General features: G+C 38.6%; 1 protein-coding gene across 7 annotated transcripts in view, besides 1 other annotated feature; it reads right to left on the bottom strand.

Moving 5' to 3' along the window:
- Positions 1 to 24,488, bottom strand: part of CSTPP1 (centriolar satellite-associated tubulin polyglutamylase complex regulator 1) — a 227,697-nt gene that overhangs the window by 128,203 nt on the left and 75,006 nt on the right. The window lies entirely within an intron of this gene.
- Positions 2,212 to 2,787: an enhancer, noted in NCBI's record as "OCT4-NANOG hESC enhancer chr11:47054947-47055522 (GRCh37/hg19 assembly coordinates)". NCBI's record gives its function as "activates a minimal SCP1, AML or CMV promoter by ChIP-STARR-seq in primed H9 embryonic stem cells {active_cell/tissue: H9 hESC(primed)}" and the evidence as "EXISTENCE:reporter gene assay evidence [ECO:0000049][PMID:30033119]".

Genomic DNA, 24,488 nt, shown 5'->3' with positions numbered 1-24,488 from the left:
TATTTATATATTATAATATGCATTATATATAATATATTATATATTATATTGTATATTATAATATACATTATATATAATATATAATATATAATATAATATATATAATTTATATATTATATATATATAATATATATATATATATATATATCTTTTCACTCCATTTCACTAACATCTTAGAGATAATGAATCTCATTCATCTCTGGTTTATTCTTCCTGTGTGCATATTTTTTTCTCAGATGAGCAGATACATGTATATACAGTTGACCTTTGAACAGCATGGATTTGAACTGTGTGGGTCTACTTATACATGGATTTTTTTTCAATAAATATATTAGAAATTTTGGAGGGATTTCAGCAATTTAAAAAAAACTCACAGACCAACTGTGCATCCTACACATATTGGAAAAATTTTTAAAAGTATGTCCTGAATGCATAAAATATGTAGACACTAGTCCATTTTATCATTTACTACATTAAAATATACACAAATCTGTTATAAAAAGTTAACATTTAGCAAAACTGACACACACACAGACCATACATGGTGCCATTCATAGTGGAGAGAAATGTAAGCAAACATACAGTATTAAATCATAACTGTATAAAATTAACTGTAGCTCATACTGTACTACTATAATAATTTCATTCATAGCCAACTCCTGTTGCTATTGCAGTGAGCACAAGTGTTGCAAGTATCTGCTTAAAACACCATGTGATGCTAATCATCTCTGCATGGGCAGTTCATTTCTCCAGTAAATTGTGTATCACAGTAAAAAGTGATCTCTCATGGTTCTCATGTATTTTTCATCGTGTTCAGTACAAAACCATAAACCTCAAATAACACTATCGGACCCATACGAAGTGTCACTAGTGATGCCGGAAGTGCTCCCAAGAAACAGAGAAAATTCATGACGTTACAAGATAAAGTTGAATTGCTTGACATACATCATAGATTGAGATCTGCAGCTGTGGTTTGGCCTTCATTTCAAGATAAATGAATCTAAGGTAAGGACAATTATAAACAAAGGAAATTCATGAAGCAGTTGCTGCAGCTACATCAGCAGGCATAAAAACATTGCACTTTTGGTGAAATACTTTTTTAACTTGTCTTGAAAACACAGCTTTTATAGGAGTGCAGGATTTCTATAAGAAAGGCATATGACCCTAATATGATCTGAGAAAAAGTGAAGTCATTATATGACAACTTAAAGCAGAAGAAAGGTGAAGGGTCTAAAGCTGGAGAATTTAATGCCAGTAAAGGATGGTTTGATAATTTTAGAAAAAGTTTTGGCTTAAAAAATATCAGGATATCAGGGGAAGTAGCATCTGCCAACCAAGAGGCAGCAAACAAGTTTCCAGATGCCATTAAGAAAATTATTGAGGCAACCAGGTGCAGTGGCTCATGCCTGTAATCCCAGCACTTTGGAAGGCTGAGGTGGGAGGATTGCTTGAGCCCAGGAGTTTGAAACCAGCTTGGGCAACATGGAAAAACCCCATCTCTACCAAAAATAAAAATTAGCCGACTGTGGTGGCACAAGCCTGTAGTCCCAGCTACTAAAGAGGCTGAAGCATGAAACTCACTCGAGCACAGGAATTCGAGGTGGTGTGAATTATAATCATGCCACTGGACTCCAGCCTGGGCAACACAGTGAGACCCTGCTCTAAAAAAAAAAAAAAAGAAGCTTTTAAAAATCATTGAGGAAAAAGGATATCTTCCTGAGCAGTTTTTTAATGCAGATGCTAAGGGGAAAAATGCCACAAAGGACACTTATTAGTAAGGAAGAGATGCAAGCACCAGGATTTAGGGCAGGAAGGGATGGGCTAACTCTACTATTTTGTGCAAACACAGTCAGGTTTATGATTAGGACTGCCCTTATCTATAAAGCTGGTAACCCCTGAGCTTTGAAGGGAAAAGATAAATACCAGTTGCCAGTTTTGGGTGTTGTACAAGAAGCCCTGGATAATGAGAACCATTTTTTCTGGACTGGGTTTCATCAACATTCTTCCTGAAGTCAGGATGTACCTTGCTGGTAATGGACTGCCTTTTATTTTTATTTTTTTATTTTTATATATATATATTTTTATTATACTTTAAGTTCTAGGGTACATGCGCACAACGTGCAGGTTTGTTACATATCTATACATGTGCCATGTTAGGAGATATACCTAACGTAAATGATGAATTAATGGGTGCAGCACACCAACATGGACTGCCTTTTAAAGTTCTTTTGAATTGGACAATGTCCCTGGCCACCCAGAACCCATGAGTTCAACACCAAAGGTATCAAAATGGTCTGTAATACTTGCCCCCAAACACAATGTTTCTAATTCAGCCCCTAAGTCAGGGGGTTATAAGGACCTTTAAGGCCCATTACACATAGTACTCTGTTGGAAAGGACTGTCAACGCTATGGAAGAGAATCCTGATAGAACATCAAGAAAGTCTGGGAGGATTACACCATTGAAGATGCCACTGTTGTTATGGAAAAAGCCATTGAGCCCCAAACAATAGATTCCTGCTGGAGAAAACTGCATCCAGATGTTGTGCATGACTTCACAGGATTTACGACAGAGCCAATCAAGGAGATCATGAAAGAGATTGTGGATATGGCAAAGAAGGTGGGGGAAGGGTCCCAAGATATGGATCTTGGAGAAATTCAAGAGCTAACAGACATCACACCAGAGGAATTAACAGAAGACAACTTGATGAAGGTGAGTGCTTCTGAACCAGTGCCAGAAAAGAAGGAATAGAAGGGGAAGAAGACACAGAAGCAGGGCCAGAAAACAAACTGACATTAGACCATCTGGCAGAAGAGTTCCAACTATTCAAGACTGCTTTTGACTTCTTTTATGACATGAACTCTTCAGTGATACAGGCACTGAAACTAAAGCAAATGGAAGAAAAATTGGTACCATATAGAAACATTTTTAAAGACATGAAAAGGCAAAAAAAATCAGAAATCACCATGTGTTTTCATAAAGCTACACCGAGTGTGCCTGCCTCCCCTTCTACAATCTCCACCTCTTCTTCCCTGCCACGCTTAAGACAGCAAGACCAACTCCTCCTCCTCTTTCTCTTCCTCAGCCACTTAACATCAAGAAGAAAAAGATGGAGGTCTTTATCATGATCCACTTTAACTTAATGAATAGTAAATATATTTTCCTTTTGATTTTCTTAATAACATTTTCTTTTCTCTAGCTTACTTTGTTGTAGGAATACAGTATAAAATACATATACAAGGTATGTGTTAATCAACTGTTTTAATGCTATTGGTAAGGTCAATAGTAGACTATCAGTAGTTAAGTTCTTGGTGAGTCCAAAATTATATGTGGATTTTAGACTAAGTGAAGAGGAGAGGTCGGCACCTGTAACCCTCATGTTGTTCAAGGGCCCATTGTGTTTTTATTTCCTCTTCTTCCTTATGCTACAAAAAGTAGCATAAAATAGATATCCTTTTGTCCAATTCACAGGGATCTGAATGTTTCTTTTTAAGCTATCATGAATAAGAAGTTCAGGAAATCTCTATGGATTATCTAGCCACAAGAGAACCAGAAACATCAAAATTAAAATTTTTTGGACTTGGCTGTGACATGAAAGTTAAAAAAATTTTTTAAATTAAAATTTATTTGTGAGTTATATATTTTTAACCTTACAAGATATAATTAAGATGAAATGGTCTGAAGATGCTTCCATTTTCTTTAGTCAAATATGTTTGTATTAATTGTAAAGTCAACTCTCTCCAGAAGATATAATCATCTATGTGCCATACACTATTGGCTTTGTCTACAATACTGTCACTAAGTGATTATAATTAAGCCCTCCCATTTGCATCAAATGTGAAGGCTGTGTTCACAACAGTAGTAAAATTTGGTTTCACTGGAAATTAAAAAATTCTAAAGTAAAAAAAATGAAATGGGCTGAGTACAAATCTCTCTTAATTTAGTTTTGACAATAAAATAAATTCCATAGTTTTCCTATTTTATTAGCTTAATATTTGTCATGTTAATATTGAGTGTCAAACTGATTGAAGGATACAAAGTATTGATCCTGGGTGTGTCGGTGAGGGTGTTGCCAAAGGAGATTAACTTTGAGTCGGTGGGCTGGGAAAGGCAGACCTACCCTTAATCTGAGTGAGCACAATCTAATTAGCTGCCAGTCTAGCCAGCTAGAATAAAATGCAGGCAGAAAAATGTGAAAAGAGAGACTGGCCTACCCTTCCAGGCTACATCTTTCTCCCATGCTGGATGCTTCCTGCCCTAAAACATTGGACTCCAAGTTCTTCAGTTTACTGGCTATCCTTGCTCCTCAGCTTGCAGATGGCCTATTGTGGGACCTTGTGATTGTGTGAGTTAATACTTAGTAAACTCCCCTTTATATATATAAATCTATTCCATTAGTTCCATCCCTCTAGAGAACCCTAATACAATATTTAACTTCAGGGCAATTTTTTTTTAAGAGATCTCTTTTAAAAAAAAAAAAAAAAAAAGAGATGGGGTTTTTCTCTGTTGCTCAGGCTGGAGTGCAGTGGCACGATCATAGCTCACTGTAGCCTCAAACTCCTGGGCTGAAGCGATCCCCCTGCCTCAGCCTCCCAAGTAGCTGGGACTCAGACATGCGCTACCATGCCTGGCTAATTTTGTTTATTTTATTTTTTGTAAAGACAGAGTCTCGTTATGTTGCCCAGGCTGGTCTCAAACTCCTGAGCTAAAGCAATCCTCCCACCTCAGCATCTCAAAGCATTGGGATTACAGACGTGAGCCACCATGCCCAGCTCTAGGGCAGTTTTCTCCAGTAATATATTAAGAAAACACAGCAGGAGCTGTGTTAAAAATTAATAATTTTATAATCAGACATTTGTAAACATGTTAAGCTAATGGGAGTTCTTGATACAATTTCATGTTCTCTTCTAGTAACAAACGCTGTTTGCACAGAAAAAGTCATACAGAATTCTATTAAGTGGTATCTATTTTCTCCTGAAAAACTAGATACAAATTCTAAGAATTTATGTATGATGTCAATTCCACATAAACATCTTAATTTTGGCTATTAACTAGCAAAAAGCAAGAATTGATTTAAATTATTCTGGTGAAGTGGGCAATAGCTCAGGGACTACCAAGAAAGAATTAAATATAAATGTAACCACACATCTTTATAATAGAATGATTTATATTCCTTTGGGTATATACTCAGTAATGGGATTGCTGGGTCGAATGGTATTTCTGACTTTAGATCTTTGAGGATTCCTCACACTGTCCCATCAGTGATAGACGGGATGAAGAAAATGTGGTACATACACACTATGGAATAGTCTGCAGCCATAGAAAAGAATGAGATCATGTCCTCTGCAGGAACATTCATGTAGCTGGAGGCCATTATCCTTAGCAAACTAATGCAGGAAGAGAAAGCCAAATTCTGCATGTTCTCACTTATAAGTGGGAGCTAAATGATGAGAACACACGGATGCATAGAGGGGAACAACACACACTGGGGCCTATTGGAGGGTGGAGGATGGGAAGAGGGAAAAGATCAGGGAAAACAACTAATGGGTACTAGGCTTAATACCTGAGTGATGAAATAATCTGTACCACAAACCCCCACAACACAAGTTTACCTATGTAACAAACCTGCACAAGTACCCCTGAACTTAAAAGTTAAAAATAAATAAGTAAATAAATAAATAACTGTAACCATACTGGATCTATATATAAATAGCTATTCACATTCCACATATAGAAGTAATAAAGACATGGGCAAGAGGACCAAATTAAAATATTCCAGCTCATTCTTAATGTGCAAAGAGGCAAAACTTCAAAACTCCAACAGCACTCTATGTCCTCCAGGTGCTCCTTGTTCTCACTCAAACTGAAAACGGCCAGTGAATCTTGACCTGCACTGTTTAACTGGATGATGGCAGTTGAGTCTTCCTAGGCCATTCTCCTGTCTCCTTTTTTTCTTTCTAAAACCAGGCCAGCTCATTAGAGTGGATTATCTTCTGTTAGAATTGGAATTGAACTTGTCTTCTGATAGGTTTTTTTTGTTTTGTTTTGTTTTGTTTTGAGGCAGGGTCTTATTCTGTTACCAAGGCTGGAGTACAGTAGTACGATCATAGCTCACTGCAGCTTCAAATTCCTAGTTTCAAGCAATCCTCCTGCCTCAGCCGCCTGTGTAGCTGGGACTACAGGTGTGCACCACCATGCCCGGCTAATTTTCTTTCTTTCTTCCTTTCTTTCTTTTTTTTTTTTTTTCCAGTAGAGACGAGGCCTCACTATGTTGCCCAGGCTGGTCTTGAACTCCTGGGCTCAAGCGATCCTCCTGTTTTGGCCTCCCAAAGTGCTAGGATTATAGGTGTGAGCCACTGTGCCCAGCCTTTTTTTTTTTCAAGGAATCCTAAATATATCTGCCAAGAAGTAAAACAGGAGAGCAGATCACATCCAACTATGCAGCACAAACTGGCCACACTAAGGTGATTCAAACACAGCATATGAATTGGCCTCCACAGAATATATAAGACCAAAGATCCAAAACATCTTGGGAAAAATTATGAAATTATGATTTTTTTTTTTTTTTGAGATAGAGTCTCACTCTGTCGCCCAGGCTGGAGCGCAGTGGCACAATCTTGTATCTTGGCTCACTGCAACTTCCACCTCTCAGGTTCAAGAGATTCTGCTGCCTCAGCTTCTTAAGTAGCTGGGACTACAGGTGCCCACCACCATGCCCGGCTAATTTTTTTGTATTTTTAGTAGAGACGGGGTTTCACCATGTTGGCTAGACTGGTCTCAAACTCCTGACCTCAGGTGATCTGCCCACCTCAGCCTCCCAAAGTGCTGGGATTACAGGAGTGAGCCACCATGCCTGGCCAAAATTATGATTTAAAGTAACCTTGTGTTGCTTCTATAAACAGAAGGAAAAAATATATTCTGAGTTGGAAAGGGGCAAGCTGGGAGGAGAAGACTTTTGGGGCATATTTTCCACTAACAGGTTGGCTAACTGCAGTTTTGTTTTGCACAAAGTCACCAGGCTCTAAAGATATATTTCTGTGGCTGGGTGCAGTGGCTCACACTTGTAATCCCAGCATTTTGGGAGCCCGAGGCAGATGAATTGCTTGTGCCTAGGAGTTTGAGATCAGCTTGGGCAACATAGTGAAATCCCGTCTCTACCAAAAAAAAAAAATATGAAAATTAGCTGGGCATGGTGGCCTGCGCCTGTAGTCCCAGCTACTTGGGAGGCTGAGATGGGAAGACGGCTTGAGCCCGGGAGGGAGAGGTTACAGTGAGCCAAGATTACATCACTGCACTCCAGCCTGGATGACACAGCCAGACCTTGTCTCAAAAAAAAAGAAGAAAAAAAAAGATATATATTCCTATGGCATGATTTTGTCTCCTGACCTAACAATCCCTGGATTTGTTCTTTGTTTCCTTGTGAAATTCAGAGGAAGCCTAAAGCCCTGAAATGTTTTCTTCCCATTGCCTATCAGCTATAGAATTTGGCAATGCTAACTTGATAAGAGAAATCAGTGAGGCAAGTCAGCTAGTCTATGTTACAGAACCCCAAAGCAGTTTAGACAACATATTTGCACAGAAGTTGCCTTACACACCAGCTTCTTTCTTATATAGTGATACAAAAAAGTTTCTTTACAAAAGTTGAATGCAGTATTTCTAAGAACTACAGTTCTTAGAACTACAGTATTTCTAATTACTACAGTTCTTAGAACTACAGTATTTCTAATTCTCTAGTAGGCTGTTGTTATCTATTATTCTATTGTTCAAAATTACAACATGCTGACTACAGGAAAAAGTAAGTGAACAATATGATCCTGAATCCAAGGATAAATTTAACATATGATGTATTCGGAATGAGCTTCTCCCCACGGATATGCATCATGAATTGATAGGTTCATTGAGTGCAACTTTTCTGTTGGCTACAAAGAAATAATTGTAAATGCTATAGAAAATAGAGATGTGGCCGGGCGTGATGGCTCACGCCTGTAATCCCAGCACTTTGGGAGGCCGAGGCGGGCGGATCACAAGGTCGGGAGATCGAGACCATCATGGCTAACATGGTGAAACCCCGTCTCTACTAAAAATACAAAAAATTAGCCAGGCATGGTGGCGGGCGCCTGTAGTCCCAGCTACTTGGGAGGCTGAGGCAGGAGAATGGCGTGAACCCAGGAGGTGGAGCTTGCAGTGAGCCGAGATCGTGCCACTGCACTCCAGCCTGGGCAACAGAGCAAGACTCCGTCTCAAAAAAAAAAAAAAGAAAAAAAAAAGAAAATAGAGATGTGCCACACTGCAAGTGAGCACTAACAATCTTCTTCATCTTCTTCTTGTCAGCAGTGGCTCCATTAGAATTAGAATCCAAGATCTTTGGCTTCTTTAAAAAACAATTTAGGAAGAAATCCAACAGGGACTATCAATCTTAAGTTACTGTCTAAGGATAGGTGAACCCATCTGTGAGAACTGAGCTGCCATTGTAGTGGATAGGATTTATAATTTCTGCAACAGCAAAAAAGCCCCAAATCAGCTTATCAGTTCACTCTAAGGACTTAAACATTGGTGTTTCATAACAAGATTTTTTTTCTGCCTAAGTAATCCTCAGTAGCAGAGTTAGTTTCTTTCCTTGATCACTTCACCAAGTGCTTTTCTGTTACCCAAATCCATAAAGAACTTTCTTAAAATAGCCGTGAAATAGAGCACTGGTCCTACCCTGGGGGCTGCTGCTAAGGAAGAAAGACGGTTCTTTCCAGGAAGGCTACGCAAAGGACCTGGTTTTCAGTTGCTGCTTCTCTGAAGTAAACTCTTCCCCCCATTGGATCTTTGCATATAATTCAGGTAAAACCCTGTCAGGGTTTTAAAATGTTTCAAACTCCCCTTTGAAGCCCTCAAACTTCAAAACTCATTCCTGAAGGCCTGGCATGCTATGGTAAACTCGCAGGTGCCATCCCTAACACATCAGCTTCTTACCGGCTGATATAAGATGATTAATTCACATCTGCTTACCCCTTGCAGCTTTAAGTATGAAGGAATATCTTTTTTTATAAGGCTGGTTACTCCAGGCCAGTAGAAACAGGGAAATACAGGATGGAAAATCAATGCGCCGAGCACTGGGAAAAGGTTACTGCACACATACATACTCTTTATAGCATGTTAGAAATTTAAATTATAAAAACATGATTCATATGTTATATTTAAGGAGGATCCTGAGGAAGGTACTGAGAATAAAAGAAGAAACAAACAAACAAAAAAGGAAACAAAATTGTGTGTACATGATAATTTTAGCTACTTCATTTATTTATGTTTTGTTTTTTTGAGACAGGGTCTTCCTCTGTCATCCAGGCTGGAGTGTGGTGCTGCGATCTCAACTTATTGCAACCTCTGCCTCCTGAGTTCAAGTGATTCTCATGCCTCAGCCACCCGAGTAGCTGGGACTACAGGCATATGCTACTATGGCCAGCTAATTTTTGTATTTTTAGTAGAGATGGGGTTTCGCCAGGTTGGCCAGGCTGGTCTTGAACTCCTGGCCTCAAGTGATCCACCCACCTCGGCCTCCCAAAGAGCTGGGATTACAGGCATGAGCCACCGTGCCCAGCCAATTTTAGCTACTTTAAAGTAGGTCTGAATAAGGAAAGTGATTAAAAATTTAAAAGATATGAATTGTATTTATTCACTGGATTAGGGTTTTGGCTTATTATTGATTTCTTCCTGTCTTCCAAATATTGTGTAATGTTATGTCAATTAAAAAAAAATAACAACAATTACCGTAAATCTCTAATTTGTCTTGTTCCTACAAGATCCTTCAGTTCTTTCAACAAGGCCTCTAAGCAGAGCTCTTTATAACAGAGCTTCCAGGAGCTTGCCTAATTTCACTTGAAATCCAGAATAATTGTGTTTTCATGGTTTCTCTGGGGAAATATCCCCTAGCCTTATCCCCTAGGAAGAGTTTCTGGACAGACTGTTTCTCTTTACAGTATTTCTGTTACATCTCACCTTCTGCTACATATTACATCTCACATTCTTTATGTGGTTTCTAAACCTGTCATCTGTTATTTCTTTCTCTTCAGCTCTATGTTCCAACCTCTGTATCTCTTTTGTCAACTGGTTCACCCTGTCTGTACTATTTTCTTCTGCTACTGAAGCTGAGTTTAGTCACAGGTGAGGCCTCCCTCAGTCATCTGCAGATCCTGCCATTCCTTCCCCTCCTCTCTATCTCCAGACCTTAAAACAGCTTTTGTCTGTTTTACTGCCAGATCACATACCATAGTTTCATCTAATTTCTTGTCTGTTTTCTTTTATAACTTTTTAAACTCAATTCTAATTTCTTACAAGATTTTGCTCATCCACTGTATATCTATGCTTGGCATTGCACTAGACAACATTTTAAGGTAAATTTTATTCTATTTTCTGCCTGCAGCTATAGCCTTTAGGTTCTTTTTTGTTGTCTTTTTGTTCTCACTAGGATCCCTTTAAAAATGTTCCCATTTTAGCATCACCTGTAGATTTCACTGAAAACTAAACACTATTTTTATGGGCCCCCTTAGATGTTACAAACCCCTTCCTCAGTACCACCTCATCTAAGAAGTGGAAGTATTAAATATATCAACTCTGTTGGTTCAAAGTCCAGCAAGTATAATAATTCTCAAACCATAATCCTTTGTTCTTATTCAAGATGATATGAATTTGGTTGAAAAAAATACTTCATACAAAGTTGTTAATAATAGGCCAAGTCTCCTTGGACTTGATTATAATTCAAAATAATAAAATTGAAGGGGGTTTAGGATGCAGGGTTTGTTCTTTTAGAGCCATCCACATGAAACTTGCAGATAATGATTCGATTCTCCTCTTCATGGTTATCATCTCAACATGTCCTATATAACTTTACTACCGTTATTTCCAGAGTCGCCTTCTGTTCATTCTTTTATTTGTTTTATCTCCAAAGTTGGTCTCACTTTTTAGAAAATAATTGTAGTTTATTTCAGTAGTCATGTATATTTACCTTCTAAAGCTACTGGTAAATCCATGTATATTTTTTAAGCACTCATATTCCCAACTTTAGTTAAAAGCTATTTTGTATTGTTTTACCTTTCCAAGTTCAAGTCCATTGTAGTAACTAGGAACTCCTAAAATAAGGGCACTATAGGCACAAATGATTAAAGTTACTATCTTAATGATTCAGTATTATACCACAGGAAAAAAATCAGTTTCTTCCTGATACCTTTTTAAAACTCCCTTCAAATGTTCTGTTAACTCATTAGGTTTCAATATCAGTTTATTTCTTTTCCTATTTCCAATAGAGAATTTCATTTCTAAAGATACATAAGGAAAGACCTCTAGGTAGCAGGCAGAATCTTGCACCAAACTCTTATAAACAAACGAGAATTTAATGTATTATTAAAGACCACAGAGAAAGAGGTACCACAAAATTTTTGAAGATCCTGGGATAGTTGTTCCAGAAAATCTTTAAAGGAGAGCATAAATTTAACAAGGGGTTCACCTGTTCCTTGACTACCTGTTTGTCAGGTGAGGTCTTAAATTCATTTATATAAAACTTTCTCTGTGATATAAACCTTCTTAGTATTGGTTTATTTCAGAACATGAGCACTCTCTCTCTAATTCTCTACTTGGTGCCATTTAACCAATTACCAACCTTCTAAGGATCAAAGGACATTTCTCAATATTCTTTTGTGATTGATTGAAAATTACAAAGTAGCTACAGACAATAGACTTTAATGAAAATCTGTACTGAAAACTCACTCTTCCTGCCAAACCTTTAAAGATTTACTTTATGTAAGGAATGTTTAAAAAAAAAAAAAGAGAGAGAGAAGATTGGGTGAAGTGGCTCACACTTGTAATCCCAGCACTTTGGGAGGCTATAAGGCAAGAGGATTGCTTGAGCCCAGGAGTTTGAGACCAGCCTGGGTAACATGGTGAGGTCCCGTCTCTATGAAAAATATCTTTAAACATTTGCCAGGTGTGATGGCACACACCTGTGGTCTCAGCTACTTGGGAGACTGAGGCAAGAGGATCTCTTGAGCCCAAGAGGTCAAGGCCAGTGAGCTATGTTCATGCCACTGCATTCCAGCACTCCAGCCTGGGTAACAAAGTGAGACCCTGTCTCACTTAGAAAAAAAAAAAAGGAACACAATAACTTAAACATAAACTGGTTTCTTAGAAAGTAAGATATTGGTGGAATTACCATATAATTCAGTAATTCCACTTCTGGGTATATAGTCAAAAGAAATGAAAGCAGGGACTTGGACAAATATATGATATATACACCCATGTTCACAGCAATATTACTCACAACAGTCAAAAGGTGGAAGCCACCCTAGTGTCTAATGACAGATAAGCAAAATGTGATACATACATACAACGGACTATTATTCAGTCTTAAGAAGGAAGGAAATCTGATACATGGTACAACATGAATGAACTTTGAAGACCTTACTCTAAATGAAATAAACCAATCAAAAAAGACAAATATTGTATGAGTTCACTTACTTGAGGTACCTAGAGTAGTCAAATTCCTAGATACAGAAAGTAGCATGGTGATTGCCAGGAGCTAGGGGGTCAGAAGGAATGGGAAGTTGGCAAGTCAGTATTTAGTGAGTACAGAGTTTTAGTTTAGGAAGATAGAAAAGTTATGGAGGTGGATGACAGTGATGGTTGCAGAACAATGTGAATGTATTTAATGCCACAGAACTGTACACTTAAAAATAGTTAAAATAGTCAATTTTAACCAGGTCCCCTATGGGCCCTGATCATCTCCACTCTTCCAGTCCCCAGGATACTCACCATGTAGAACCTGAGGTACCACTGAAGTAGGTCACACAGTTCAGGAGGTCCAGCTTCTGCAGGGCCAATAGGAGGCAAAATATCTTAAATATTTTCTAACATTTAAGATATTTTGTGGGTTAAGTGCTATGTTTTATCATATTTTTTAAAAAGTAAGATATAGGTGTGAAATATCCACTATGTATATTCATAGAATTGCCTGATGGAATGAAAAACTGGAAGTTATAACCAAAAACTTTTTGAGTAGTTCTCAAGAAAAAATGACTATGGCTTTGCTACTGAAAATGTGAACCAAGGACAGCAGCACTAGCATCACTTAGAAGCCTGTTAAAAATCAGAATCTGAGGCCCCAACCCAGACCTACAAAATCTGATTCTGCATTTTAACAAGATCCCTAGGTGATTCACACAAACATGAAAAAGTTCAAGAAGCACTAGTCTGGGACAAATCTTCCTGGCTGTATGACTTTGTATTGCAATTATTTTTCTCTGTAAACTAGTGATTACAGGAATGCTTATTACATAAGGTTGCCAAAGGTTAAATGTGTTAATAATGCATTCTGTAAAATGCTTGGCACATTCGGGGACTATCTTATTATTATTACTCTGCTGTGCAGAAAATCTGTGAAAGTTGATTTTAGGAACTTTTCTAAAAATATTAGTCTTAGAAAATCAATATTTTCCAGAGGATATGGATAGTGTATGGCTTTAAGAGATAACTGTAGTGGCTGGGTGCAGTGGCTCACATCTATAATCCCAGCACTTTGGGAGGCCAAGGCAGGCGGATCACCTGAGGTCAGGAGTTTGAGACCAGCCTGGCCAACATGGTGAAACCCTGCCTCTACTAAAAATCCAAAAATTAGCCAGGTGTGGTGGCGCACGCCTGTAGTCCCAGCTACTTGGGAGGCTGAGGCAGGAGAATCTCCTGAACCCAGGAGGCAGAGGTTGCAGTGAACCGAGATCACACCACTGTACTCCAGTCTGGGTGACAGGGCAAGACTCTGTCTCCAAAAAAAAAAAAAAAAAAAAAAAAAAAAGGACATATGAAAGATATGAAAGAAAATAGTATGAAGAAATGGAAATGACTTTCTTCAGAAGATACAATGTAGAATAGAGTGGAGACATCAAATTCATTTACAATGGGACTTTTTTTTTGTTAAAGTATGGGAGGACCAGACTAATATTATTTACAAAACATAAATGGAATGAAAGTGGCTTTTAATAAGATGATGTCATGTTTAAGATATTTTGGGGGCTAAGTGGTATGCTTTCCACATGTCTGAAATCCCTTCATGGGATATTACCTTTCAGCTGAAATGTCATAAACATATATGACTTACGTGATAAAAAAAAAAAAAAACCATATATGTGGCTGAGAGACCAAGGTAGAACAGAGTGAAATATTGACAAGGTAGGGAGACAAAAAGGACAACTGCACAGGCGCCCATAAGCTGCCAGCACCTGGGCCACAACTCTCAGAAGATGTCATTGGGTTTCTAACCTAATTCTCTGGCAGGGGATCTCTCCTTGTCCCAGAAAAGACTTTTAGAGACAGAGGGGATTAAAAAATAATAATATTGTTAAGAAGTGAGGTTGCTGGGCTTGCATTTTACTAGCCGGAATCACTTTATCTTTCTTGAGAGCCCCCCAGATCTCTTTTATTCTAGGTCAGTAATTTAACACTCTCAGCTCCCAATTCAAAGCCTGTAATGACCTTGCTGTGCTGAATTATTAGCACAGGATATAGAAAGAGAGAGAGAAGGAGGGGGAAAAACCCTAAAAAACAACAGAGGCCTTTTGATCAGAGCACCAAACTGCAGCTAGCTGTAACTCAAGCTGCCCATTCTTATATGGCAGGAATTAAGGACTCCCCCTGCCAGGCAGGACCCTATTAAAAGACAATAGCTGTTTGAAAAGGGTAAGCAAGTTGATATGGATATAATAGGCCACATATGGGGGCCCCTTTCTACTCTGAAATAAAGCTCCTTCTTAGAGTTGTGAGCTGGGAAATTCAGCATTCAGTAAGGCAGGAGGAGGAGGTATAATAGAAGAGAGTGAGTAGCCATGCAGAAATGCTTAAAGGTGCTTCAGGAAAAATGGGAGGCAAGCTTGAGAGAGCCTGCAGGAGCCTGCAGAGATGAGCATCAATCACTGGGGATGGAAGCTTTCAGAATGACCAGGTGCTCTTTGGTCCCCAAAAGAATGTAAGGCCAATGATGACAAGGATTTGGCTAAAACCAATGTAGTGGTTAGTTTCTCTGATGGGTTAACAACAACCACAACAATGACCGCAATAAGCAAAGTAGTAAGCTCTTGCCAGAAATGATGCAGCTGGCAAAAAGTAATCCTTTCTGTCTTATTTTAAATGGCCTAACATGGTAACATCCTAAACTCCTGATGAATAATACCATCTACTGCCACTACATGGTTTCGTTATCTCTGGGATTAAAAATAAATAAATAACTTGCAAAACAGAGACAGTGGACTCTCCAAAGAAATCTCTTGCCTGAAAACTATATATCTCCTCCTATGCAGAGAGGCAACCACAGGACACAGATGTTTGTTTACCCATCACCCCAAACACTGTGCCTATTAGTGAATTATGCTTCTGGAGGATCTTCAATCCACAACAGAATTTTTCAACCACTGTTTTAGTTATCTCTAAGATCTTGTATGTTACAAAACAAGGAATGATTTAGAACTGATTCAAAGTATTTAAACACATTAATCTAGTTGTTTATGACTAAATTCTGAATCCCCAAATTCCTAAGCAAAAATATTGGAAAGATAGTTTTCTTCCCTCCACCACCCTTTGCCTATTATTGCCGAATGAACAGCTCTCCAGCTCCTATCCACTGCAATAAATGGGTTAGCTTGGTAGAATTTGCAACTAAAAAAAAAACCACAAGAGATCTTCAACACTTGCTTGTTCCATTAGGTGGTCAACAGGGCACAAAACTTATCTTTAGCAAATTAAAGGGTTTAAATATTAAAGAGAGGATTTGGATTCCTAAGAAAAAACCAAATAGGCTTTTAATTACATCACTAAGCTTAAGACTCAAATAAATACATTATTTTATAAAAAATTATTAGATATAACTGTTTTCATAAAATATTGATTTATAAACTATTCTCCAGTATGTAGACTTTATTTCATTTCAAATGCAGCCATCATGTGGATAGGGACAGATGAGCAAAGGAGATGAAAGGCATCAAACTCCATACTCATTCCCCAGTTAATGCCTTCATGCCTTGGCATATGGTGACCATACTTTCAGAAGTCCAAATTGGGACACATAATCTAAAAATGTTTTATTTGGTGTGGGGGGCACTTTCAGGTGTGAGAAACAGCTGAACAACTTTGCTTATATGATTGGCTATGTTTAAATGTCATATTATTTAATAATCTTAAAATATATATAGCCTATGTATTCAGAAAAAAATTCATTATACAGAATAGCATGTGTAGTGCACCATTTACAGGCATACCTTGTTTTATTATGCTTCATTTTATTGTACTTTGTAGATATTGCATTTTTTGAAAATTGAAGGATTTTGGTAATTCTGTGTCAAGCAAGTCTATGGGTGCCAACAGCATGTGCTCACTTCATATCTCTGCTTCACATTTTGGTAATTCTCACAATATTTCAAACTTTTTCATTATTTGTATATCTGTTATCATGGTCTGTGATCACTGATCTTTGATGTTATTATTGTAATTATTTTGGGGTGCCACAAACCACATCCATATAGGAGGGTGAACTTAATCAATAAATGTCGTTATGTTCTGACTCCTCCACCGACCAGCCATTCCTCTTTCTCCCTCTCTTTCCTTGGTGCTCTCTATTCCCTGAGCTACAATGGTATTGAAATTAGGTCAACTAATAACCCTACAATGGCCTCTAAGTGTTCAAGTGAAAGGAAGAGTCTCTTACTTTAAATTAAAAGCTAGAAATTATTAAGCTTAGTGAAGAGAGCATGTCAAAAGCCAAGATAGGCCGAAAGCTAGGCCTCTTACACAAAACAGTTAGCCAAGTTGTGAATGCAAAGAAAAAGTTCTTGAAAGAAATTTAAAGGACATTCCAGGCCAGGTGCGGTGGCTCATGTCTATAATCCTAGCACTTTGGTAAGGCCGAGGCGAGCAGATTACATGAGGCCAGGAGTTTGAAACCAGCCTGGCCAACATGGTGAAACCCCGTCTCTACTAAAAATACAAAAAAATTAGGCAGGCATGATGGCTCACGCCTGTAATCCCAGCTACTAGGGAGGCTGAGGAACAAGAATTGCTTGAACCTGGGAGGCAGAGGTTGTAGTGAGCTGAGATTGCACCATTGCATTCCAGCTTGGGCAACAAGAGCAAAACTCCGTCTCAAAAAAAAAAAATAAACTTTTGCTCTGTATATAACACTGAGAAGAGAATGAAAATACAAGCTAAATGCTAGTAGAAAATATTTGCAGATTACAAAGGACTTGTATCCAGAATATATAAACAACTCTCAAAACTCAATAGTAGGAAAACAAACAACCCAATTTAAAAATGGGCAAAAGTTTGAACAGACACTTCACCAAAGAGGATATGTGAATGGCAAATAAGAAGTTTTTCAACATCATTAGCCACTTGAGAAATGCAAATCAAGACCACAATGAGATACCTATTAGAATAGTTAAAATTAAAAATACTGACAGTGCCAAGTGCTGACAAGGATATAGAACAACCCAATCATTCATATATTGCTGGTAGAAATACTAACTGGTACAGCCACTCTGGACAACACTGTGGCATTTTCTTAAAAAGCTAAACATGGCTGGGCGTAGTGGCTCATGCCTGTAATCCCAGCACTTTGGGAGGCAGAGGCAGGTGGATCACGAGGTCAGGAGTTCAAGACCAGCCTGGCCAAGATGGTGAAACCCCGTAACTACTAAAACTACAAAAATTAGCCAGGCGCAGTGGCAGGTGCCTGTAATCCCAGGTACTCAGGAGGCTGATGCAGGAGAATCACTTGAACCCAGGCAGCAGAGGTTGCAGTGAGCCAACATTGCACCACTGCATTCCAGCCTGGGTGACAGAGTAAGACTCCATCTCAAAAAAAAAAAAAAAAAAAAAAAAAGCTAAACATACCATGTGATTGAGTGAGCAATCTTATTCTTGGGTACACAATTCAGAGAAAAGAAAATGTATGTTCACACAGAAATGAGTACATGAGTATTTATAGCAACTCTATTCATAATTGCCAATTGGGGGAAACCCAAATATCCTTCCAAGGGTGAATGGATAAACAAATTGTGGTACATATATACAATACAATACTACTCAGCAATAAAAAGAAGCAAAGTACTGACACATGCCACAACCTGGAGGAATCTCAAAGCTCTCAAAGCATTATGCAGAGTGAAAAAAGCTAATCTCAAAACGTTATATACTGTATAAAGCTGGGCACAGTGGCTCACGCCTGTAATACCAACACTTTGGGAGGCCAAGGTGGGCAGATCACTTGAGGCCAGGAGTTCGAGACCAGCCTGGCCAGCATGGTGAAATCCCATCTCTACTAATAACACAAAAATTAGCCAGGCATGGTGATGTCTGCTTATAATCCCAGCTACTTGGGAGGCTGAGGCATGAGAATTGCCTGAACCCAAGAAGGGGAGGTTTCAGTGAGCCAAGATCGTGCCACTGCACCCCAGCCTGGGCAACAGAGTGAGACTCTGTCTCAAAAAAAAAAAAAAAAAAGTTTATATATTGTATAAGTCCATGGATATGACATTGTTGAAAAGACAAAACTATAGTGATGGAGAACAAATCAGTGGTTGTCAGGGGTTTGCGTTGGGAGACAGAAGAGGGTGTGATTATAAAGGGATAGTATGGAGTTTTTTGTGGTGATGAAATTGTTCTGTATATATACATGTGTTAAAAATTCATAGAACTGGTCGGGCACTGTGGCTCACGCCTGTAATCCCAGCACTTTGGGAGGCCAAGGCGGGAAGATCACGAGGTCAGCAGTTCAAGATCAGCCTGACCAATATGGTGAAACCCCATCTCTACTAAAAATACAAAAATTAGCTGGGCGTGGTGGCATGCACCTGTAGTCCCAGCTACTCGGGTGATTGAGGTGGGAGAACCGCTTGAACCTGGGAAGTGGAGGTTGCAGTGAGCCAAGATTGCGCCACTGCACTCCAGCCTGGGGAACAGAGTGAGACTCCATCTCAAAAAAAAAAAAAAAAAAATTCATAGAATTAAATGAAAAAGTGGCTGGGCATGGTGGCTCACACCTGTAATCCCAGCACTTTAAGAGGCTGAGGCGGGCAGATCATGAGATCAGGAGATCGAGACCATCCTGGCTAACACGGTGAAAACTCATCTCTACTAAAAATACAAAAAAAAAAAAAAATTAGCCAGGCGTGGTGGTGGGCGCCTGTAGTTCCAGCTACTCGGGAGGCTGAGGCAGGAGAATGGCGTGAACCTGGGAGGCGGAGCCTGCAGTGAGCCGAGATTGGGCCACTGCACTCCAGCCTGGGCGACAGAGCGAGACTCCATCTCAAAAAAAAAAAAAAAAAAAAAGTACTAAATGAAAAAGTACACATATAATTTGGTAAGTTTTTATATATGTGTATACCCAAGAAACCATCACCACAATCAAGATAATGAACATATCCATTACCTCCCAAAGTTTCCTTTGACCCTATTTGGAATTCCTCCCTCCTGTCTGCCTGTGACCTCCTGTCCACAACTGATATACTTTGTTACCATATATTAATCAGTCACTATAGTCTTTAATTCCTCTCAGCAATGTTTTGTAATTTTCAGTGTAAACCTTTTGTCAGAATTATTTCTAAGTATTTTGTATTTTTTGATGCTATTGTAAATGACACTGCTTTTAAAATTTAAATTTCCAATTGTTCTTTGCTGGAATACAAAAATACAATTTTTATATATTGATATACAGCCTTGATAAATTCACTTATTAGTTCTAGTAGCGTTTTTTTTTTGTTTTTTGTTTTTTGTTTTTTGTAGATTCCATAGGCTTTTCTATATAGACAATCATGTCCTATGTGAACAAACTTGTTTTTTTTCAAGTTTTCTTGCCTTATCCACTGGCTAGAACCTCCAGGACAATGTTGAACAAAAATGGTGAGAATGGAAATCGTTGCCCTGTTCCTGATTTTAGCAGGAAAGTCTTCTGTCTTTCACCATTAAGTTTGATAGGTTTTTCGTAGATGCCCTTCACTTGGTGAAAAAATTCCCTTCTATTCCTGCTTTGCTAGGTGGTCTTTGTTGTTGTTTGAGGCAAGGTCTGGCTCTATTGCCCAGGCTGGAGTACAGTGGCATGATCTCAGCTCACTGCAACCTCCACCTCTGGGGCTCAAGCAATCCTCCTGCTTCAGCCTCCCAAAGTGCTGGGATTACAGGTGAGAGACAGCATGAACAGTCTTGATTTTTGTTTTTTTGAATCAGGAATGAATGCTCGATTTTATAAAATGCTTTTTCTCTATTTATTGAAATGATCTTTTTTTTTCTTTTTATATGGTGGGTTACGCATTTCTTTTTCCAGAATTTTTAAGTTTACATTGATTTTTAAATGTGAAACCACCACATGCATTCCTGGAATAAATCCCACATGGTTTTTATATATTGTTGGATTCAATTTACTAAAATTTTAAGAATTTTTGTGACAAGGAATATTGGTTTGCAGTTTTCTTTTCTGGAAATGTCTTTGTTTTGTTTGGGTATTAGAATAATGCTAGTCTCCTAGATTGAGTTCAGAAGTACTTCTTTTCAATTTTCTGGAAGCATTTGTGTAGAACTGGTGTTCTTTCTTCCTAATATGCTTGGTAGAATTCACCAGTGAAGCCACCTGGGCCTGGAGTTTCTGATATATATACATATATACATATATATATTTTTTGTTTGTTTGTTTGTTTGTTTTTGAGACGGAGTCTTGCTCTGTTGCCAGGCTGGAGTGCAGTGGCATGACCTTGGCTCACTGCAGCCTCCTCCTCCCGAGTTCAAGTGATTCTCCTGCCTCAGCCTCCTGAGTAGCTGGGATTACAGGCGCGCACCACCATGCCTGGCTAATTTTTGTATTTTTTTTTTTTAGTAGAGACGGGGTTTCACCATGTTGGCCAGGATGGTCTCAGTCTCCTGACCTCGCGATCCCCCTGCCTTGGATTGCTGGGATTATAGGCGTGAGCCACCGTGCCCAGCCTGTGAGATTATTTTTAACTACAAATTCTGTTTCTTCAAGTTATCTATTTATTCTTGAATGTCCTTTGTGTCTTTGTCCGTTTGGTCTAAGTCATTGAATTTATTGGTATAAAATTGATAATATTTCCTTATTATCTCTTAATACCTATAGAATCTGTAATGATGTATCTCTCTCGTTCCTGATATTGGTAATTTGTGTCTTTTCTCTCTTTTGTTGTGATCAGTCTGGCTCATGATTTTCCGATTTTATTTATCTTCTCAAAGAACCTGCTTGGCTTCACTAATTTTCTCTACTGTTTTTCTGGTATCTATTTCATTGATTTCTACTCTAATCTTTACTCTTTCCATCCCCTTCCCCCCTAACTTTTAAATTGCTCTTCTTTTTCTAATTTCTTTCTCTTTCCCTCCCTCCCTCCCTCCTTCCTTCCTTCCCTCCCTCCCTTCCTTCCTTTCCTTCTCTCTCTCTTTCTTTCTCTCTCTTTCTCTTTCTTTGAGACAGAGTTTCGCTCGTTGCCCAGGCTGGAGTGCAATGGTGTGATCTCTGCTCACCACAACCTCTGCCTCCCGGGTCCAAGTGTGATTCTCCTGCCTCAGCCTCCCGAATAGCTGGGATTATAGTCATGCACCACCACGCCTGGCTAATTTTGTATTTTTAGTAGAGATGGGGTTTTTCCGCGTTGGTCAGGCTGATCTCAAATTCCCAACTTAGGTGATCGGTGATCCACCCACCTCAGTCTCCCAAAGTGCTGGGATTACAAGCATGAGCCACCGCGCCAGGCTTTCTTTCTTTCCTTTCTCTCTTTTTTTTTTCTTTTTCTTTCTTTTTTTCTTTCTTCCTTCCTTTCTCTTTCTTTTCTGTTTCTTTCTCTCTTTTACTCTTTCTTTCTCTTCTCTCTTTCTTCCTCCCTCCTTCCTTTCTTTTCTCTTTCTTTCTCTCCTTCCTTCCTTTCTTCCTTCCTTCCTTCTTTCTTTTTCCTTTCTTTTTCTCTTTCTCTCTTTCTTTTCATGGGGGTCTCACTGTGTCACTCAGGCTGGAGTACAATGGCATACTCATGGCTAATTGCAGCCTTGACCTTCTGGGCTCAAGCCATACCAAGTAGCTGGGACTACAGGTGTGCACTGCCATGCATGGCTAATTTTGTTGTATTTTTTTGTAGAGATGGGGTTTTGTCATGTTGCCCAGGCTGGTCTCAAACTCCTGGGCTCAAACAATCCACCCACCTTGGCCTCCCAAAGTGTTAGGATTATGGGTGTGAGCTACTGCACCTGGCTATTATTACAAAGTCAAAAAACAACAGATGCTGGCAAGGCTGTGAAGAAATATGAACACTTTTACACTGTTGGTGGGAATGTAAATTAGTTCAACCATTGTGGAAGATAGTGTGATGATTCCTCAAAGACCTAGAACCAGAAATACCATTTGACTCAGCAATCCCATTACCGGGTATACACCCAAAGGAATATAAATTATTCTATTGTAAAGATACATGCATGCATATGTTCATTCACAATAGCAAAGACATAGAATCAACCCAAATGCCCATCAATGATAGACTGCATAAAGAAAATGTGGTACATATACACCATAGAATACTATGCAGCCATAAAAAGGAATGAGGTCATGTCCTTTGCAGGGACATGGATGGAGCTGGAAGCCATTATCCTCAGCAAACTAACACAGAAACAGAAAACCAAACACTGCATGTTCTCACTTACAAGTGGGAGATGAACAGTGAGAAAACATGGACATGGGGATGGGAACAACATACACTGGGGTCTGTTAGGAGGGGTGCAGGAGGGAGAATATTAGGAAAAATAGCTATTGCATGCTGGGCTTAATACCTAGGTGATGGGTTGAGAGATGCAGCAAATCACCATGGCACACATGTTTATCTATGTAACAAACCTGCATATCCTGTACATGTACCCTGGAACTTAAAACAAAACAAAACAACAACAATAAATAAATAAATATATATATATAACCATTTATATATAACTACATATGGTTATATATGTTATATATAATAACCATTTATATATAACTACATATGGTTATATATGCTATATGATTATATATGTTATTTATATAATAATATATGATTATATGTTATTTATATAATAAAATATATATGTTATTATTTATATAATAACATATTATTATATATAGTTATTATTTATATAATAAAATATATATATAACCATTCTGTCTCGCACCAATACAGCAAGGGCACAGGAGGGTCAAGTATTTTCTAAATAACAAAGGATAAAAGGGCTCTCTCAGAAATTTCTGTTTTAAGTTTAACATTAGACCCAAGGATACCTGACCTCGGTAGTATAAAAAAATGTTCATTTCCCCCTTTTATTCCTATGAGAGATAGAAAGAAAAGAAGACTCAGTTCCTGGCTCCTGTAAAATCAGGGAGATTATGAATCCTGATTTATATAGAAGGCACCTCAGAGAAGACCTAGTGGCATAATTTAAAGAAAGGGCTCCCATCGTGAATCCAGTCGTACCTGCCAGCCAATTCCTATCATTATTATATCCTTGAAATGGAAGTCAATGGTCACAAATTATTTACAAAGCAAATAATAAAGTTCAAGCTTCTCTTTTTCTTTTTTCTCTTCCTTTCCCCTATACAGCTATCTACAAAGCAAATAAAGTTTGCTTTGCTATCCCCTATCCCCTATCTTTTTTCTCTTCCTTTCCCCTATACAGCTACAGGTTGTAATATCCCTTTTTTCTTCCTCTTCTCTCTCCATTATCTTAATCAAGAATATACTTTTTAAAAGACCACCTCTCTTTCTTTAAGCAAGTATCTAAAATAGCAATGGCAATAGAAAGCCTCAGTGAGGCCTTCTCTGACTACACTATTGAAAGTAGATTTCCATCTCCCAGTCATTCAGTATCCCAAAGCCCTCCTTTATTTCCTTTTTTTGGAGACACAGTCTCACTCTGTTGCCCAGGTTGGAGTGCAGTGGGATGATCACAGTTCACTGGGCTGAAGCAATCCTCTTGCCTCAGCCCCCTGAGTAGCTGGGACTATAGGTGTGTGCCACTAAGCCTGGCTAATTTTTTTTTTTTTTTTAAACGAGGTACTGCTAAGTTGCCCAGGTTGGTCTTGAACTCCTGGCCTCAATCAATCCTCCCGCTTCAGCCTCCCAAGTCGCTGAGATTATAGGCACGAGCCATCATGTCCGGCTCCTGATTTTCTTAATAGAATTTATCACTATCTGAAGCTACCTTACTAATTTATTTGTTTATTTATTTATTACATGTCTAGGGTGCAGTAGGCCTTCAATAAACATTTGTTAAATGTATGTTAATTAATCCACATACTACTGCATATTCACACCAACTTTTATTACTGAAAAACTACCTAAATCCATGTTGTGATATGAAAAGTTTAGACATCTAGAAGAGCATCACAGAAAAGAAAATGGGTCAGAAAACCTGCCAATTAGGGCATTAATAATGGAGAGGAAATAAGCTGATTACACA

This window comes from Homo sapiens, chromosome 11 (assembly GCF_000001405.40).
Source record: "Homo sapiens chromosome 11, GRCh38.p14 Primary Assembly".
NCBI lineage: Eukaryota > Metazoa > Chordata > Mammalia > Primates > Hominidae > Homo > Homo sapiens.
This window is presented reverse-complemented; position numbering and strand designations above follow the sequence as displayed.